Source organism: Homo sapiens, chromosome 6, assembly GCF_000001405.40.
Source record: "Homo sapiens chromosome 6, GRCh38.p14 Primary Assembly".
Taxonomy (NCBI): domain Eukaryota; kingdom Metazoa; phylum Chordata; class Mammalia; order Primates; family Hominidae; genus Homo; species Homo sapiens.
Window position 1 is genome coordinate 4160666 of NC_000006.12, and position 20115 is coordinate 4180780.

Here is a 20115-nt window from a genome sequence, read left to right on the forward strand (position 1 = left end):
CTGGGGTCAGAGAAAGTTTTCTGGAGGTGTTACCTGAGAAGAGCCTTGGGGGAAATGGGCATTATCCAGGTGAAGAAGGATTTTCTGAAGGTTCTGGACAGCTGTGTTACGAGACACCCAGCTTCTCTGCTTCTCCTGGGAACACGCGTTGTGCTTCTACTCCATGGCGCTCCTGGGAGCTGCCGCATCCATGGCATGCTCTCCCCTGCCCCCACAGCTAACTGGTGTTATGGGTGGGCTAAGTGGCCAAAAGTGAGCGTTCAGGTTGGCACACTGCCACACTGAGCCTGGAGAATCTTCCCCCAGAATGCTTTGAATTATTAGTCAAACAGAGAGTTTCTTTCTGGCAGTAAGAGCAATAAAATGTGAGATTCACGAGTTGGCCTTCATGTTTCTCGCCTTTGGAGAAAGCTGTCCCACAGAGAGGGAGAGTGCAGGCCTCTGAAGAGAGTCACAGATAGAGATGAGGAGTCCTGGGGGGATCTAGACCCTGACTCCAGTTATCCCTGAGACCCAAACACATCCCCATTTTTCTCACAACTTGCCAGTCTACCCTTCCCTGGATCCCACAATGCATTCTAATACCTTCCAATAATTTTTTTTTCTTTTTTGAGAGAAAGTCTCATCCTGTTGCCCAGGCTGGAGTACAGTGGCGCAATCTTGGCTCACTGCAACCTCCACCTGCTAGGTTGAAATGTTTCTTGTGCCTTAGCCTCCCGAGTAGTTGGGATTACAGGCATGCGCCACCACACCTGGCTAATTTTTGTAATTTTAGTAGAGACGGGGTTTCATCAGGTTGTCCAGGCACATCTCAAACTCCTGGCACCAGTCTCCCAAAGTGCTGGGATTACAGGTGTGAGCTACCACACCCGGCAAACTCATAATTATTTAATAAAGAATTTATAGTAAATAACTAAATTCCTAAGAAATAGCTTAAGCTATTCTTTGTGGGGTTTCTGTCATCCATAACCAAAAAAAATTTAGATAAATGTAGTGTCCTCATCTCTGGGGCATCAATTGCCACGAGTCAGTAAGTGCTGGAGGACAAGCTCCCTTGCTTAGAAAACTAGGCTGCATTACAGAGGAATTGTTTTAAGGAACAATGCTTGAGGTTTCTAAGCAGATGAATTTAGAAATCTGAACTATGAGAGCATATTGAGAATATTAAGAATATTGGAGGCAGTAATCATGCAGGCTAGATCACTTAAAGACCACCAGAGGATGGGCTATTAGATGCTGGGTCAGACGCCTGTGCCTTTCCTTCAGTCCACGCACTGGCCACCCAGTAGGAACCTCCTTCTCTGCCCTTCCACCTTCTTGAGCCCTGTCACCTCTGTTCTCAGCCTGCCCTTGGCCTTGGATTAGTACGTCGGCCTCCTTCAGATCAGAGCTGTCTGCTATTAACTCAGTTCTTAGCGTCGACCTATTTCCTGGCATAGCCGTTAATGACCTGCTTACACTTTTCCTAGTACAGCCATCCCTTGGTATCCATTGGGGATTGGTTCCAGGACCACCTCATAGATACCAAAATCTGTGGATGCTCAAGTCTCTGATAAAAAATGGCATAGTATTTGCATATAACCCATGTAATTCTCCCACGTATTTAAAATCCTTTCTAGCTTATTTGTAATACTGAATACAATCCCTACACATTACTTCATTCATGTGGATTCAATGGAGTACTCGGCATGCAGCAAATTCAAGTTTTGCTTTTTGGTACTTTGTGAAAACATTTTTTTTCTGCATATTTTCTAACTGTGTTTGGTTGAATCTATGGTTGTGGAACCTACAGAGAGCCAACTGTATATGACTACTCTCTGAAGTGTGTTTTACCTTTTTGTGTCCAAGCTGAAAACTTGAAGGGCCCCCTGAGCCACAAGAGGGCTCAATCAAGCGAAGGAGTTACTCAAAGACCAGCCAGATGGCACTCATTGGCTGGAAAGCCTGTAATGATTTAAAGGAATTCTTCTTGGCTTTTAGGATTTAAAAAAATTCTTCTTGACTTTTAGTATTTGAAGGAATTCTTGACTTTTAGGACAGCAGAGGCCCACCAGGCCCTGGGCAGAAGGAATGATAATAAAACTTCTGAAAAGTGAAATGCAAAAATAGCTGAAAGGAGAAACATTTCAGGTTCCCAACTGTGGGTAAGTATAAGGCAAGGGATGGGGGTGTCTAGGTGGCTGCTGGCGACAAACCCTAGTGGGATTGTCATCCAAGTCCTTGATTGTCCCAAGATGGGCATGGTCTGGGAAAAATGAGGCTTAGATTAGTCAATGTTTTGATATTTTTTCCCCGGGCATCCCGGAAAGAGCACCTACTCTCAAAGCTAGAGCTCAGCCCCGAGTCCTAGTTAGTGACAAAGTTCAACAAAGGCAGCGGTCCCAGTCCTGATGGTGGGAATGACGCCCTGTCTAATTTCAATACCAATATCAATGCTAGTTGTCCTTGAACTTTGCCGTCCCGCTCCAAGCCTCTCAGGGACACTACCAGGGTCAGGGAAACAGCAGGTCTTCAAGACACTCATCTCAAAGTGCCAGGCCGACAGGTTTTCAGCGGTGACATTCACCCAGATGGAAGCATGTGGCCATTGACACCCCTGTTCCTTTTCAGTCTGTTGTAGGAAAACATTAAAAGGTTCCTTACTGCTTGGAAAGGTTTTCTGGAAAAGCACCTTAATGGATAAAATGAGGAATAACAGAGATAACTGACCCAGCAACTTGCCCTCTATTTTCCTCAACACTTTTAAGTTTCGGGCAGTCTTATCTGATTCCAGTACACGGCCAAGTTCATTCTTTTCCTGCTGTAAGAAATTTGGAGGCGAGAGCAGAGACAAGTTATTTTTGATGACATGCCTTTTAAATATAGAGTCAGCTCTCCCTTTTCTGAGGTGGGAGGAGCCCAGGCTGGACTCTTCTCGGGCTAGAGCGCAAATGCAGGCTTTGTGCTCATTCACCCCTTGGTTGTCAGCAGCCTTGACCTCCAACCCAGAAACCAGGGGCCTGCTACAGGAAAGCAGGGAGGTCTCCTCCTGGGTGATGGCCCTCAGCAGCACTGAGCAGCAAGGCTGGAAGACAGCAGCTGGAGGGAAACAGAGGCAGCTGAAACAGCCTGGGTGTCTCTCAAATGGAATCAATCCTGGAATTAATGAAACGCTGGTGCTAGAATAGGTTATAAAAAGCTGAATAATGCTGAAAGGCTGAATAATGAATGATCACCATGAAAAAAGGCAGTAAAACAGATTCCAAAAGTCTCCGCAGAAGCCTTAAAGGAGCTGGGACAGACAGTGTGAGCTCATCCTCACCAAGGGTCTGCAGCCTGCATCGCGTTGAAAGAAAATCGGTCTCCATTAGCACTGGCTGCAGGAAGCCTGATAGTTCTATACTGGTGAAATCTAGACATGATGGCTCCAAGTGACAAAATCCCTTCTAATTTCCAAGGGAAAGGGACAGTTCCAAGCAGGCCGCGAGAAAATCTATAGAACATGTTTCCAGTACAGATAAGGGCATCTTTCAACATTATTACTTAAATTATAGACAGGCTTATCTCTTGCAATATTGAGACTGGAGTGTAGAGGGTGCAGGTGCATAAAAGGCCAGAGGCAGCTGGAGAAGCTGCCTTCATTGCAGTGGATAACCCTATGTGTCCTGGGTTTATCTATCAAGAATAGCAGGTGACTGCCTGCATCTCTGCAGGTTAGAGTGCAATCGGAGGCTTTGTGCCTGCTCACCCTCGGTTATGAGCAGCCTGGACCTCCAACCCAGAAACCAGTGGGGCTGCTACAAATGACATCAGAGGCATTCGGGAGACACTGCTCCTGGGCAAGAGGCTGAGACAGCAACAGTGGGGACCCAGGGTCCCCAAATCCTTGGACCAGAAGCCAACTCAATCCACAGGCCTTTAGCAGAGTTATCCAGGGAGAATGAATGAGTGGATGCCCAAGGCCAAATCTCTGTTTATTACTTTGTGGCTTTGGCACCAACCGTGTGAGTAGCCTCTGGCCTTGGCCTGCTGAGTCCCAATCGGTAATTGTGAGTCCCAGTCAACAACTCAGCAAATCGGCTTTTAATGACTCAGTCCTTTGGTGAATTTGGTCATTTGGTAAATTGGTTTTTGAAGCATTGATTTTTGGAGGAATGAGCAGGAACCCTCCGGGGCCTGTCTCACAGTCTAGTGAACGCAGTTTAGGTAGGAAAGGGTAGATGGACAGAGCAGCGCTGCTCAGCCTCTGTGAGCCGCCATTGAAAAGTGCTGTGTGGCAGGTGGGCAGAATTTTCCCGAGGCCTGTGTGCCCTGCCATCTTCCACCCCCGAGGGAGGGCTGGGCTGCTGCACAAGTCAATGGGCAAAATCTGCAGGTGAGAAGACGGCCTCTGGGAAATGACACCATGAGGGTGTTGGGGACAAGAAGAAAAGGGACTGTTTTGAATGGCCACTGGGAGTGGGAGGGTTCAGACAGAGCATGCTGTGTCTCCACTGCTGTGGTGGGTGTGTGGCGAGTCACCTGTGGCCCTGCTCAACATCCACGCATTTGCTGTCCTTTGCTTGCCAAGACCATCATTATCTGAGACAATCTGGCTGCCCAAGCCTTCCCTAAGGGAAAAGGCTCCTCTGGTCGGATGGGCCCTGCCAGGCTTGCCTGGGCTCCCTTCTTGCTGTCTGTGTGGGCTCCCACTAGCTGGCCTCAGTATTGATTCTGCTGCTCCACCTGTCATCACTGCCATTTATTCATACACGGATGTTTGCCACTGGATCACCTCTTCACATACCAGTTCTCTTCTATTTGTTCTGGGGTTTGTTGCTGTCATTTTCTTTGCAAAGAGATGTTTTCTATTCCCCAAAGCTTACATTTCCCCCACTCATTCCTCCTCTCATCCAGTAAAGTTCAGACACTTCCAGTTAAAAGATTCTCCCACTTATACAGCTGATGAATTGATGACAGGGGCAGGAGGATGGCTTTCTCTGTTCCTCTTCCTTCTCCTTTGTAAAATGATGGCAGTAGATTCATATAATCTTTACATTCCTGTTTTTTTTATAGACATCCCTGGGTATCCAGAGGGGATTGGTCCCAGGACCTTCAGGATAGCAGTATCTGCTGATGCTCGAGTCCCTGATATAAAATGATGTTGCATGTGCGGATAACCTGTGTCCATCCTCTCTTATCTTGCATTCACCTCTAGATTACCTATAATACTTAATACAATGTAAATGCTATGGAAGTATTGTTTTCTATTTGCTTTTTTTTTGAGACTGAGCCTTGCTTTTTTGCCCAGTCTGGAGTGCAATGGCGCGATTTTGGCTCACTGCAACCTCTGCCTCCCGGGTTCAAGTGATTCTCCTGCCCTAGCCTCCCGAGTAGCTGGGAATGCAGGCACCTGCCACCACGCCTGGCTAATTTTTGTATTTTCAGTAGTGATAGAGTTTCAGCATTTTGGCAAGGCTAGTCTCGAACTCCTGACCTCATGTGATCTGCCCGCCTCAGCCTCTCAAATTGCTGGGATTACAGGCGTGGGCCACCACACCCAGCCTGCATCATTTTTTAGTGTTGTATTATTTTTATTCTTTGAATATTTTTGATCTGAGGTTGGTGGAACCTGCAGATGCACAACCTGCGGATGCACAACCCAAGGATAGGGAGAGTCAACTGTACCTTTGTTTTTAAGCAGCTTCATGGAAGTACAATGGACTGTTTCAACCAAACTACCTTGGATGAGGTATGATGCCAGACACAGATTATGGGAAAGGAAACAGAAAGTGTTACAGGTCTGTATGAGTACAGGAGGGCTGCCTGAGGGAAGCACTGGGGTGGGTCAGAAGGCAGAGGGAGGGGGGCTGTGAGCAAGCACCCTTATTGTGGTTTCTGCAGGAAGCAACAGGCGAGGCAGGGCTGGCACGCTTAGGATTGACCAGTTGGAATAATTTCAGGGCTCTGTGGCATATGGGCTGTCCTTGGTTGTCTGGTACTTAGCCTTGGGTTAATTAGGGAAGAGGAATAGTGGCCTGGAGTGTGAGATCCCATTAAGGGAGTTGGTTGGGGTGTGGAATTAAATTAGCTGCTCAAGAAAGGGAAATGACAGGCCTCTAGCTAGGGCCTAAAAACTGGATCAAGGGCCAGGTGCGGTGGCTCACGCCTGTAATTCCAGCACTTTGGGAGGCCGAGGCAGGCAGATCACGAGGTCAAGACATTGAGACCATCCTGGACAACTTGGTGAAACCCCGTCTCTCCTAAAAATACAAAAATTAGCTCGACGTGGTGGCACATGCCTGTAGTCCCAGGTATTTGGGAGGCTGAGGCAGGAGAATTGCTTGAACCTGGGAGGCGGAGGTTGCGGTGAGCCGAGATCGCGCCACTGCACTCCAGCCTGGCGCTGTCTCAAGAAAACAAAAAACAAAAAACAAAACAAAACAAAAAAACCCCCCAAAACTGGATCAAGACAGCATTTTAAAAGACTGAATGACATTGACATACAATAAACTACATATTTAAATTGTACAATTCAGTGATGTTTATATCTGTAAATACCTGTGAAACCATCACCACAACCAAGATAATGAACACATCCATTACCCCCAAAGGTTTCCTCATTCCTCCTGGAAATCTTCCCTCCCCACGCAACTACTGGTCAGCTTTCTATCACTTTAGATGAGTTGGCATTTTCTAATTTTTTTTTTTTTTTTTTTTTTGAGACAGAATCTCACTGTGTCACCCGGCTTGAGTGCAGTGGCGCAATCTCGGCTCACGGCAGCCTCAACCTTCCAGGTTCAAGTGATTCTCATGCCTCAGCTGCCTGAGTAGCTGGGACTACAAGTGTGTTCCACCATGTCCGGCTAATTTTTGTATTTTAGTAGAGATGGGGTTTTACCATTTTGGCTAGACTGGTCTCGAACTCCTGTCCTCAAGTGACCCTCCAGTCTCCGCCTTCAAAAATGCTGGGATTACAGGCATGAGCCACCGTGCCTGGCCTCTGAAATTTTATGTAAGTGAAATAATACAGCATGTAGCCTCTTTTGTTTGGCTTCTTTCACTCAGCATTATGATTTTGAGATTCCATCATATTTTTACATGTATCAATAATTTATTTCTTTTTATTGTTGAGTAATATTCATTTATGGATACTATACTGCTGTGTGTTTATCCATCCATCTGTTGAACATTTGGGTTGTTTTCAGTTTTGGCTGTTATTACAAATAAAGTTGCTATGAACATTCATGTACACTTGTGCATGGGTTGAATGGCTGGGTTATATGGTATGTGTATCCTTCATCTTTTAAGAAAAAACTGTCTTTCAAAGTGGTCGTACCATTTTACATTCTCACCAACAGTGTATAAGAACTTTAGTTGCCCATGTCTTTGCCAGCACTTAGTATGGTTAGTCTTTTATCCATTCTAGTGGGAGTAAAGTGGCATCTTATTGTAGTTTTAATATGCACTTGCCTAATGACTTTGGATAATGATCATGTTTTTAATGTGTTTATTTGCCATCAGTCAATCTACTTTGTTGAGGTGTATGTTCAAATTTTTTGGGTATTTTTTTCTTATTGATTTACTTGAATTCTTATTGAATTGTAAGGGCTCTTTATATAATCTAGATACAAGTCTTTTGATGCATACATTTTGTAAATATTTTCTCACAATCTATGTCTTACTTTTTTACTTTTATATTCATATCCTTTAGAAGGGCAAACATTTTAGCTTTGATGACATCAAACTTGTTTTCTGTTTCATACTTTGTGCTTGTTGTTTCATATTTAAGAAACGTTTGCCAAAACCAAGGTCAGTAAGATTTTCTCTTCTGTTTTCTTCTAGAAATTTTATAGTTTTAACTCTGACATTTAGGTGTACAAATGGGTCCATGCTCCATTTCCAGTTAATTTTTGCATACGGTATCAGGTAAAGGTTGATTCTTTTGCATATGACTATCTCATTGTTCTAGCACCATTTGTTGAAAAGACTATTCTTTCCCCATTGAATTTCCTTGATACTATTGTCAAAGTCAACTCACCATATATGTCTTAATCTATTTCTGAGATCCTCTGTTCTAGTCATGAGTTTGTCTGTCTTTCTATAAAAACTACAATGTCTTGATTATTGCATATTTATAATAAGGCTTTAAATTCAGTAGAGTGAGTCCTCTAACTTTGTTCTTTCTTGATAAAATTGTTTTGACTGTTCTACATCATAATCCTTTGATCCATGCCAATAGCACATTGTTTTAATGACTGTGGGATTGCAGTATTTTTTAATGTTTATTAGGGCTAATCTCATCAGGATGTGCTGTTAACCACTCTGAATAAGGGGCTGATCCTGAGTGGGCAGAGCTGTCTCCCAACCCCATTTCCGCCTCTTACCCACTCAACTCATGCATTGCCTGGATTCGCCTGTCCCCAGATGGGGTCTGGAGAAGCAGCCCTTAAGGCAGAGCAGAGTGTGTAGGAGGGGCAAGGAAAGAAACAGCCTGCTCTTTTCTCATGGGGAGTTTTGGACTGGAAGGTGCCTGCTGAGTAGCCTGTGTGCCAACTTCCAAAAGGAAAGATACAGTCAAATTCTGCCTCGAGTTCTCAAGCTCTGAACGTTTCAGACATAAAAACAGTTGTTTTGAGAACAACGGTGAATCACAGGGGGAAAGGGTGGGAGAAGTTCCCATGGCTTTTCTTTGAAATTTCTTCACAGCAGGATGACAGCATTTACATAAAAAAGAGAGTTTATTGGCAGGTTTCTGGAAGAGAGAGGGAAAAACAATGCTGTTATTTCAGGGCTGCCAATGATCTCACATGTATCCAGTGTCTTTTCTTCAAGGATTACAAAATACTTTACAAATGTTACATTTCCAGACAGTTATTAATCCTTCCAGCACCCCTGTGAAATGAAGAATACAGTCTGGTTTGGATGAATGCAAATGGCCTCCCACCTAGGCTCACTCATCCCCAAACTGAACAATGAATGATGGTGGAGTTCATTCGTAAGTGCTCGTGGGCTATTGATGAGCGCTCCAGAGCTTTTACCCAAGAACACGGGTCATCCACATGATTCTGAATCCTGGTCATCCAGAAGGCTCTTGTTAACAGGCAGACAGGTATTTTCTTACAAACTTAAACATTTTTTGAGAAAGACATCCTGCAACTTCTCTAGGTAATCCTGTTCAGATAGAAATATTTGTTTTTTCTATAAAAATCTCTTTTTCTTTTATGTACAGCTATGCACCTATATGTAAATTTAATACATTTATACATTGTTTCTCAGTAGAAAGGAGGAGTAATTCAATTATTTTCATTATAAAAGCCACAGGCCCAGCCGTGCGTCTCATGCCTGTAATCCCCACGCTCTGGGAAGCCAAGGCAGGAGGATGGCTTGAGCCCAGGTGTTCAAGACCAGCCTGGCCAATATAGTGAGACCTTGTCTCTACAAAAACCTTAAATAATTAGCTTTGTCGGTGGTGTGTGCCTATACTCATAGAAATAAGGAGGCTGAGGCAGGAGGATTGCTTGAGCCTGAGGGGAAGAGGTTGCAGTGAGCCCAGAATGTGCCACTGTGCTACAGCCTGGGCAACAGTGAGACATTGTCTCATTAAATAAATAAATAAATAAAATAGCTATATAAAAGCCATAGAATTTTAGGGCAAAATGGAAATTTGAAATCATCTTCTTATTTTTTTTGTTTAGTGAGTGAGGCCATTGATACACAGATGAGTGGCAACTGTAGCCCATAAACTGAAAGTCAGGTCAAGAGCCAAGCTCTCTGGAGTCCTTGTCGAGAGCTCTTTCCACTGCATGGCATAGACACAGCACACACACCCCAACTTCCCACATTCCTGTCCATGGCAGACATCCACAATCAATCCCAGCACGGCCTCCATTCAATGTCGCTTCTTCTTTCAGAGATCCAGGCAGCCATTTACTTCAATGGGAATCCACACAAGCAGAGTGGCTGTGGTGAGCACAGGCTTTAGAGCCAGACAGACAGACAGCAATCCTGTATTATGTCATTAATCACTGGTGGATTGACAAAACTACTCAATCTTTCTGAGTCTCAGTTTCCTCATTTATGAAAAGGCGGATTGCAAACCTTGAAAGGCCAATCCTTCAAGATGAATCCTGACTGGGTGACTGGGCCTAAATTCAGTAAGAGCCAAGTGACCATTTGCTGACTAGAGGTCACATACGTGTTCTGAGTTCCATGAAAACCTGCATGTCTGCATAACTTTGAGACTTTCATAGTTGCCTGTTCCTATTTTTGTTGCCTGAACCAACCAATAGGCTGTGACCTACATTAACCAACCAGAGCTCAGTAAACGTCAAACAATCATAACTAAGCACATTTAAATGTTTCATGTGTATATGTGGACTTTAGTGAGAACCTGGGTTAGAACTTCCTCTATAAAAGTCAAATTTCCCATTGTTCTCTGGACTGCACCTTCACTTTACATGAAAGCTGTGTCTCTTTGGTATGAAAAATTTACTGGAATAAAGTCTCTTTCCTCTACATTCCTTTTCAGAGAAGTTTTGTTCACATTCTTTGGAATCAGAAGTGGAATTCAAGCAACACTGATTCTTCTCCTGATGCTGTCCTGAACCAACACATTGGGATCTTCAAGGGTCCTTTGAGTTCAGTTGTCTTCTCAGAGATGCCAGGAAGCCTCAGGTAAGCCCTCTTGAATTCAGACCTCCCATGCCTTTTTTTTTTTTTTTTTTTTGAGATGGAGTTTCACTCTTGTTGCCCAGGCTGGAGTGCAGTGGCATGATCTCGGCTCACTGCAACCTCTCCCTCCTAGGTTCCAGTGATTCTTGTGCCTCAGCCTCCAAAGTAGCTGGGATTACAGGCGTGTGCCACCATGCCCAGCTAACTTTTGTATTTTTAGTAGAGACGGGGTTTTGCCATGTTGGTCAGGCTGGTCTCAAACTCCTGACCTCAGGTGATCCACCTGCCTTGGCCTCCCAAAGTGCTGGGATTACAGGTGTGAACCACCGCGCACTTCTCCCATGCTTTTGATCTAAGCCTCAGAGCCTTTATTTAACCTCCTCAGCCAGTCCTCTTCATCTGGACCCTGAAAGAGACCTCCCCAGGAAGGGGGGCCTCTCCATCTGGTTTGCAGAGGTGGCCTCTTCATAAGGTTGCAGACCCAGCTGTTCCATCAGGTTTTGTGAGGACACTCTAAGGTGCGCTAGAGGGATGCCTTCATCAGCTTAGTGCAATGGGTAACCCGTGATTTCTGTGTTTCCCTGATGATCAGCTGCCCTCTGGCACTCCAACTGGCTTTATGAGCAAAAATTATGTTCCAGAGAGTTGTAATTGGCTAGGTCTCTGGACAAAAATTACCTGGGATGATCTAAAAACTTTGTTGGCCAAGATGGGGTTCTTTTGAAATTCTAAAACTTGCCTATCTGTGCTCACAATTAGAACAAAGAAAACACTGAACTTCCCAGAGATAATGAAAAGCCTTTTCAAGTTGGTACTTTTAGAGTTTCGAATAAAATCAAGAGCTACTATGCTTCCCTTAAAGAAAGCAATTCCAAATTAGGCAAACATCTTAATGAATTAAAAAGAGATTAGCACTTGGGAGACTGAAACTAAAGCTGCAGAAAAACCTAAGACCCTTCTTCTGCTAGCTCACCTCTCCTGTCACCTTGCCTGTCTGCTGCATCTTTTACAAGGCCTCTACTTTACCTTTCACTCCCTCCTTCCTCTTTCACGCTTTCTGAATTCCTCTTTTTCTCTTCTGACATTTCCACTTCCTCCAGACTCAGCCCCTTTTAAGGCCCAAATAATGGGGAGTAGAAATTGGCAAATTCCACGCTCCTTAGTCCATGTCAGAACTTTTGGCCCTAGTAAAACATTTCCCTAGTCCCTTGAAGACTAACTTCCTTGAATTTGAGTAACATTGTAGCCTAATCATTAGGGCTTATCAATCTTGATCAGCTGTTAGCTGCTGAATGGGAAAGACTCTGAGGACTTTAAGCAGACCGGTGCCCAAGGATTTGATAAGGCACAGAAACAGGATACCAAATTACTAAAAGCCATTCCCCTATTTTTTCCCCATCAGATAAACTGAAAAGCCATACACCGTTTACACAAAAAAAGGATGAGACCATTCTTGATTATTTTGATAAATTTGAACAGACTTTCCAACAAAATTTGGAGATCAAATATTTAAATGATGAAACATTCCATTTATTTAATTCCTTTTTTTTTTTTTTTTTTTTTTTGGGGCTGGTCTTTCTGAAGCTCTCAGTACCCTGGTAAAACAGCTTGACCTTAACTGGGCTGTAAAGTAACCTTATGAAATAGCCTCTTTGGCCAATTCATTATCCAAAACTTTAGAAAAGAATAAAGAATCTAGGGCTACTTGAGCATTAGACTGTCAAGAGAAGGCTGCTAAGTTAATGGTCCTTCAGTTACAACAATTAGCAAGGGACACCTCAAACATGCCCATTCTTCAAAACCAAAATTTAAAAAAAAAAGTGTGTTTTCAGAAGATGTTCCAGACATTTTAAAAAGGATTGCCCCAAATACAAATGAAGGCTGCAATTAAATCTTGATAAAGTCCCTGGCCCTCTACCCTCAAGCAGGACAAGGGATGATCCAGGGACATTCTGGGAATAGAGCTCTAGTTGACATTGAGCCACTGTCCTTAACCCTGATACTCTGGAGTGTCCCTGCCAGAGTTCTGAACTCATCTGGATGGTTGCAGGAGCCGACCAACCTGTGATGGTTCCTAAATCTCTATCCCTCCAACTGGGGGGTCCTGACTGACAATCATTGTTTTTCGTGTGTTCCATCGGTTCCCATACAATGCACCTCCTGGAAAGGAACTCCTTAGAGGCCTATCAAGCCCCTATTTCCTTCTCTTGAAGTGGGGGGCTAATGCTTGAGTTGGCAGCCCTGAGCTCAGCAGTACAGTTAGAAAATGGAGACTAAGTTAGAAATCACATAACTAAATTGGTCTCCAGGATATGATTTTTTTTTGGCCTTCAGCTGATTATTTTGAAAAGATTTCTAAACTTTGTCTAGGCTCATCTTTATTTTTCCTCATAAAATCCTGTGATAAATTCCTGTAATTTTAGGTTATCTTGGCACCCATTGTAATCCTCCTGTAACACACTCAAACTCCTTCTTGACAAAGCTTAGGTTCTCTCAGTTATTTGACATGTAAATTGCTACCCTGTTTTCTCTAAAACTCAGTAAGGGCTTTGGCCATGTGAGACATAAATTTTAACCTGTTCCATTTACAGAGACATAGTTAGAATCCAACCGTCCATTTAAACAAGTAAGTTATACCTGACACATGGCTAAAATTTTAAAATTAAAGCCATACAATCTTTATTTGTGTCTGTATATATTTTTATGTATACAGGTGTATGCATGTCTGTTCGTATGTTGTCTACATAATACCAAGTTGACTTCGTTTGTTCGTTCGTGTGTTTTTGTTGAGCTACCGGGCCTGGCCCCACATTGACTTTTAAATAAATGTGAGTATTCATAAATTAAGTAAATAAGCCCAAATGCTTTTCAAGTTCATGTGACTTTAGTCAACTTTTGGCAACTAACACTAGTTTAATACTGTTTGTTTAATAAAAGTAACAAGATCTTCTGAGTTATCAGCAAAATATGCATGTATTTAATGTTAAGATTCTTGCTTTCATGATATGTGCCTAACAGACAAGTAATGTAGAAATGGTTAATAGAAAATTTAACTTGAGATGATGGCTAGAATTGTCTAACGTCTCATGGAATTTTCCAAATTGTTAAGAATGAATACATTAAGGCCAGGAGCTGTGGCTCACGCCTGTAATCCCAGCACTTTGGGAGGCCGAGGAGGGCAGATCATGAGGTCAGGAGTTCTAGACCAGCCTGACCAACGTGGTGAAACCCTGTCTCTACCAAAAATACAAAAATTAGCTGGGCACGGTGGTGTGCACCTGTAATCCCAGCTACCAGGAGGCTGAGGCAGGAGAATTGCTTGAACCCAGGAGGCGCAGGTTGCAGTGAGCCGAGATCACGCCACTGCACTCCAGCGTGGGCGACAGAGCAAGACCCCATCTCAAAAAAAAAAAAAATTGCAAGAGGTTTTGATTTTTTAATTCTGAAATCTGTTTTTTAACAGCCACCCTCTGAACTACAACAGTTTCTATTTCTGCCACATTTCTTCCTGAGATCTATCTAACTTCTCTAGTTTCAGGTTAGAAATGCAGCTCTTCGGCTGGATGCAGTGGCTCACCCCTGTAATCCCAGCACTTTGGGAGACTGAGGCAGGCCAATCACCTGAGGTCAGGAGCTCGAGACCAGCCTGGCCAACACAGTGAAACCCCGCCTCTACTAAAAATACAAAAATTAGCTGGGTGTGGTGGTGGGCGCCTGTAATCCCAGCTACTGAGCAGGCTGAGGAAGGAGAATCGCTTGAACCTGAGAGGTGGAGGTTGCAGTGAGGCGAGATCGCGTCATTGCACTCCAGCCTGGGCGACAGAGCAAGACTCCGTCTCAAAAAAAAAAAAAAAAAAAAAAGAAATGCAGCTCTTCTTTCTAACCTTGAAAAGGTCTATCTTTTTGCTTGGCTCGGGTAATATCTTTTTTCTTCAACCTTTTCTTCAGCTACTGTAACTTTTTTCTCCAGTTCTAACTGCTGTTGTGGCCTGATGCTGAAACGTTTACCTTGAAGGTCTAGAGAAACAATGTTACCTTCAGTGTAACTTGATTCTGTATTGTTGGGTTTTCTTGATGTGTTTGAGTTGTTCCATGTAACCAGGAAACTTCCCATGCTGTCACTAAAAGCCATGAGTTTCCCTGCTCAAGGTACTAGTTTTCTTGTTTACATCCCTCTATAATATGAGTACATTCATAACCCTGGACACACTCTTCCTGTGTCTGATTAAATTCAAGTACCAGGTTAACTTTCAGTTTATCTAAAAAACCTACAGGAGGTTTTTTCTTTACTTTTAGGTAACTGACCTAGAAAACAAAGACTCTGTGTTTACTAAGATAATTTCTTATGTTTCATGTTATCTTTATTGAATTTTTGGTTACTTAGGAAAACTAATAGCTACTTGGGAGGCTGAGGCAGGAGGATCACTTCAGCCTAGGAGTTTGAGGCTGCAGTGAACACACCACTGTACTCCAGCCTGGGTGACAGATCGAGACCCTGTCTCTAAAAAAAAGGAAAACTGGCCAGGCATGGTGGGTCACGCCTGTAATCCCAGCACTTTAGGAGGCCAAGGTGGGTGGATCACCTGAGGTCAGGAGTTCAAGACCAGCCTGGCCAATACGGCAAAACCCCATCTCTACTGAAAATACAAAAATTAGCTGGGCATGGTGGCGTGTGCCTGTAGTTCCAGCTATTTGGGAGGCTGAGCTCAGCAGGAGAATAGCTTGAACCTGGGAGGCGGAGGTTGCAGTGAGCCGAGATCATGCCGTTGCACTCCAGCCTGGGCTACAAGAATGAAACTCTGAAACTCCGTCTCGGAAAAAAAAAAAAAAAAAAAAAAAGAAAACTGAGCTTTTAAAGGTTAGAGTTTTTATATCCATGTAACATTCTTTATTGCTTTTTAAGTCTTTTTATTATCACTCTGGTTAAATGAATAACTACTATTTAGTAGTGACCTGTGATTCTGTTTTGATCAAGTATTTTGAACCGTTTTACATATTTGGTGGGTTTTCCCCAGGAACAAGATTCTAAATTAAGTATTTTTGATCTAAAATTAACTTTAGGATTTGCCAGTAGGGTCCCTGGAGAGCATCAAATAATGTATTTTTCATCTTGTAGAGATATTAAATGATTAGGCTTATTGGGCAAGTCATGTGGGAAGCATTATCAAACAAGAAATAGTGTTTAATTTCTTTTAAGTTATATTTGTATAATGCATTATTCATATATGTTCCAAAATTATATGTGATTCCTAAGATTCTGATCTGTTATGATATGTACCATCAGTCATGATTTTGATTATTATTAACTTGTATGTCACAGAATTAATCAAATTTCTTTCTCAATTGCATCTTTAACTATGGCCATTCTAAGTCTTATGTAATCCACTGACAATTATGGTTTTACTTTTATCCTTCTAAAAAAGCTATTTATAATCAGTTACAGTCTAAAAATTTGCTGCTTTGTCAAGGAAATTCATGGAAAAGACACCAAGTTAAGAATTCCCTCCATCCTCATGGGAAGGGGACCCTATCAGGTACTTTTAACCAACCCATGTGCTGCTAAATTACAGAGCATTGAGTCATGGATCCATATTTCTCATTTAAAAAGAAGGCTCTTGATCCTTCTACCAAGTGAACCGCCCAACTGGTCACTGATATCAAGCTCAAGTTAATCAAACTACAGCCACCAGGACAAGAAGAAGACAACATCTGGGGTAGACTGCTTTCTCCCAAGATACCAGAGCAGGCCTGTATAACCTCTTTCTTATCTTGAGCTAACATGCCTAGTCCTTATGTTTACTTTGCAATTATTTTAATTATCATAGCTTTGAGAATCTTATGCCTCCTGGGTGTCTTATGCCACTCTGGGGTAGTTCCATATATTCCACTATTTAGACACGCCATGGGACTCACTGCCTTGCTGGACTCTTTATAATCCCCTCTTTTTACACCATGCTGTACTTCTTCCTTGTCCTTTCTTTCTCAACTCTGCTTTTCAGTTCCTCCTACTCGTGGGAAGATAATGCCTAGGTACAGCAATCCCAATCCTTGCCTCTGCAGGCAACCTAACTGAGTGTTGGATATGTCACCTTTCCCCCTGCCGAAGTCATCGGAGGAAACAGGAATCCTATAATCATCCCAGTGACCAGCTTCCCTAATGTGCTCAGTTGCTTGGTACTCCTGTTTGATCCACTTGCTGTTGCCTATTGGGTGCATATTCATGCTCCTGAGGTTCATCCTTGTTTTCTCCTCACTGGTATATCCCATAAATACCTTCCTATTACCCTACCTTGCATTTCCTCCCCTTCTTCTGAATACTCACCACCCCCCTCCTCTGTGTCTTGCCAAATCCCATAGAAACAGAACACTTAGTAACACTTCTCTCTGCAGAATATACCAAAGAAAGCTTAAGAGTCTCCTCTATGGCTCCCCAAATCTGCCGGTTGGATCACACCACTCTGTCATTACCTAAGACAGGTACTTGGTTTGACCACATACCCTCTCTTGCCTGTAAACAGCTCCTTGAATTTTCATAACCTCTCAGGATAATTACGTGCCCCTTCAGGCTGTGTTTTTGGCTGCAGCTACGTCAGCCAAAAAGAGTTTTTCTACCCCTGCCTCGGGTCCTGAGAAAACACAGGCATTTGCTTTCTGGGTCAAGCCATTGCTCCTGTCACTGTTATTAAGTCTCTAACTCAGGGAATGTAGAGTCTACATCCCAGGGCCAAAAGAGCTCTACCAATAATTGATGACTATGCTGGTGATAGCCCCTCAGATTATAAAGATGATAGCTGTGGATACTCCTAAGGATGTGATTTACCTGGTAGGCTTAACTCTAGTGAAGGATCTAAATGGGAAGGGATTCTGGGGTCCTGGTTTGGGCTAGACCCTGCTTGGAATGAATATAGGATCAGAAACCTTTCCTGCATGGTTCGCAGAATTGCCCACTCCACTGCCTGTACCATCAGGGCACAACAGAGATTTCCAGATTCCCTTGCCCATGCGATCCTGCACAACCACATTGCATTAGACGGTCTCCTCGTTGCATGTGGTGGTGTTTATGCTGTCACTAACACTTCCTGCTGCACCTGGGTAAATACTTCCATTCAGGTTGAATTAGAAGCATCTGAGATCCAAAGTTGGCCAAATCCTACAGCTGGCTGTCTGAAAAGGACACCTTCAGAAAGCCTCCTGGCTGGGCTTGCTGGATTAGAATTCCAATTTCCAGATATTTTCAGCCGGCTTCTTCTGGTATAGGATTCCTTCTGTGTTCTGCCCTACAAATTGTAATGAATCTCCTTGGGCTAAGCATTTGGCTCCTCTTTAAAATCATTGTAGCCTGCTTTAACAGATATCTGCATGAGACCCTCACCAGGATCGTGCTGACCCAAGACCTTGAGACTTTAGACTCATTCCAGCTGGAAACGGAAGCCAGCTTAAGCCAAGAGATGTTAATTCATATTTAACAGGTGCCTGAGTGCCTCTCATAAGTAAATGGCTCTAGTTGCTCAGTTGATCACTGCCTTGTCAAAGGATCTCTGCACGGGACTAGAAGAATCTGGAACAGGTTGCCAGCCACTCTAGCACGATGATGGGATGCAACCAACCTAATCAATCATCAGTGCTGTCTGCTGACAGGTTTTGATAAACGGGGGGCGTGGGGGGAATGTGAACCTTGAAAGAGCCAATCCCTCGGATGAATCCTGAGTGGCTAATAGCCTAATTTCAAAAGAGCCAAGTGGCCATTTGCTTACTAGAGGTCGCACACATACTTGGAGTTCCTGGAAAACCTGCATGTCTGCTTAGGGGCTTTCATAGCTGCCTGTTCATGTTTGTGCTGCCTGAGCCAACCAATAGACTGTGACCTATGTCAACCAATCAGAACTCAGCAAGTGTTGACCAATCAGAACTCACCAAACATCAACCGGTCAGAACTAAGCAAGTTTGAATCCTTTATTTGACTAAGTGGACCTGAGTGGAACCTGGATGGGATCTTTCACTATAAAAGAAAAACCTTCCCTTTGCTCTCTGGAACGTACCTTCATTTTACACTGAAGGCTGTGTCTCTTCGGTTTGCCAACTGTTACTGGAATAAAGTCTCTTTCCTCTAAATTCTCTTTCAGAGAATTTTGTTCACAGGATAAAAGTCATACCCATCCCACTGGTCCAAGTTGAGGATTAGCTGTGTCGAGTCATGTAAAATAGTTCATTTAGGTAGGTGCTGAGGACTTGTTGGCTGTGATTTTGATGATGATCTCAGCAGTGATGCTAATGACAACTCCTTTGTGTCATCCTACTGTACCATACTTCCATGTCACACCTGAAGTCAAATGGGTAATACTATATACATTCATTCATTCTCATATATGCACCGAAGGGTGGTATATGGCTTTGCTCTTTTATTCTGCCGTGGTTTTCCTCAGCTCCTTGAAATTGGATCCACTGGTATGCCCCACCTTCTGTTTGAGGCTGAATCCAAACTCTAATACCTATATCACTCTGGGACTGTATTATGGGTTGCATTGTGTCCCACCTCCCCAAATTTATATATTGAAGACCTAACACCCATGACCTCAGAATGTGACCTTGTCTGAATATAGGGTTACTGTAAATATAGGGTTACTTCATTAATGTGATTAATAAAGTTAAAATAAGGTCATACTGAAATAGGGTGGGCCATTAATCCAAATATGACAGGTGTTCTTATGAGAAAGTGAAATTTGGACTTGAAGACAGACAGACAGAAACACACACACACAGAGGGAGAAAGAGAGACAGAGAGAGAGGGAGAGAGACAGAGAAAGAGAGAGACGGAGAGAGAGAGAGACAGACATAGAGAAAGAAAGAGAGATAGAGACAGAGGGAGAGAGAGAGAAAGAGAGACAGAGAGACAGAGAGAGACAGAGAGAGAGAGAGAGTGAGCAATCGTGAAGATTGCAGTTATGCTGCCACAAGCCAAGGAACTACCAGAAGCTAGGAGAGGTGCCTGCAACAGATCCTTCTGTAGCACCTTCAGAGGGAGCATGGCTCTTCTGACACCTTGATCTTGAACTTCTAGCCTCCAGAATGGTGAGACAATAAATTGCTGTTGTTTATATGCTCGTTTATGCTACTTTGTTACAGCAGCTGTAGGAACTAACACAGGGTATAATGAATTGACAACTCTGGGCATAGTTCCCAGGGGCTTGGTTGCAATGGCTGGGCTCCCTGAGTCACCCCGAAGTCTCTCACTGCCAGGAATCCCAGAGTTTGGACCTTAGAGAGATCCCCCAGTTTCCCATGTTGGCTTTTTCTGAATTCATTCAGGGCAGATGGGTTGCTTGCCTAACCATCTAGTTTCTCCTGGTAAGAGAGCAAAGGAAAGATTTTTCTTTTATAGTGAAAGATCCCATCCAGGTTCCACTCAGGTCCACTTAGTCAAATAAAGGATTCAAACTTGCTTAGTTCTGACGGGTTCATGTTTGGTGAGTTCTGATTGGTCAA

The 20115-nt window shown here is 43.4% G+C and overlaps 1 long non-coding RNA gene across 1 annotated transcript in view, besides 3 other annotated features; it reads left to right on the plus strand.

Moving 5' to 3' along the window:
- LOC124901246 (uncharacterized) overlaps window positions 1–18744 on the plus strand; it is a 35700-nt gene extending 16956 nt beyond the window's left edge. Inside the window, exons 3-5 of the long non-coding RNA XR_007059416.1 lie at window positions 10490–10635; window positions 13346–13460; window positions 16203–18744. This is a non-coding gene — a long non-coding RNA (uncharacterized LOC124901246). The remainder of the gene's footprint in view (window positions 1–10489; window positions 10636–13345; window positions 13461–16202) is intronic.
- Window positions 7920–8526: an enhancer, noted in NCBI's record as "OCT4-NANOG-H3K27ac hESC enhancer chr6:4168819-4169425 (GRCh37/hg19 assembly coordinates)". NCBI's record gives its function as "activates a minimal SCP1, AML or CMV promoter by ChIP-STARR-seq in naive and primed H9 embryonic stem cells {active_cell/tissue: H9 hESC(naive and primed)}" and the evidence as "EXISTENCE:reporter gene assay evidence [ECO:0000049][PMID:30033119]".
- Window positions 8527–9132: an enhancer, noted in NCBI's record as "OCT4-NANOG-H3K27ac hESC enhancer chr6:4169426-4170031 (GRCh37/hg19 assembly coordinates)". NCBI's record gives its function as "activates a minimal SCP1, AML or CMV promoter by ChIP-STARR-seq in primed H9 embryonic stem cells {active_cell/tissue: H9 hESC(primed)}" and the evidence as "EXISTENCE:reporter gene assay evidence [ECO:0000049][PMID:30033119]".
- Window positions 16144–16623: a transcriptional cis regulatory region, noted in NCBI's record as "candidate enhancer chr6.285 targeted for multiplex CRISPR interference". NCBI's record gives its function as "positively regulates ECI2 gene expression in K562 cells {active_cell/tissue: K562}" and the evidence as "EXISTENCE:mutant phenotype evidence [ECO:0000015][PMID:30612741]".
- Window positions 18745–20115: the final 1371 nt, after the last annotated feature.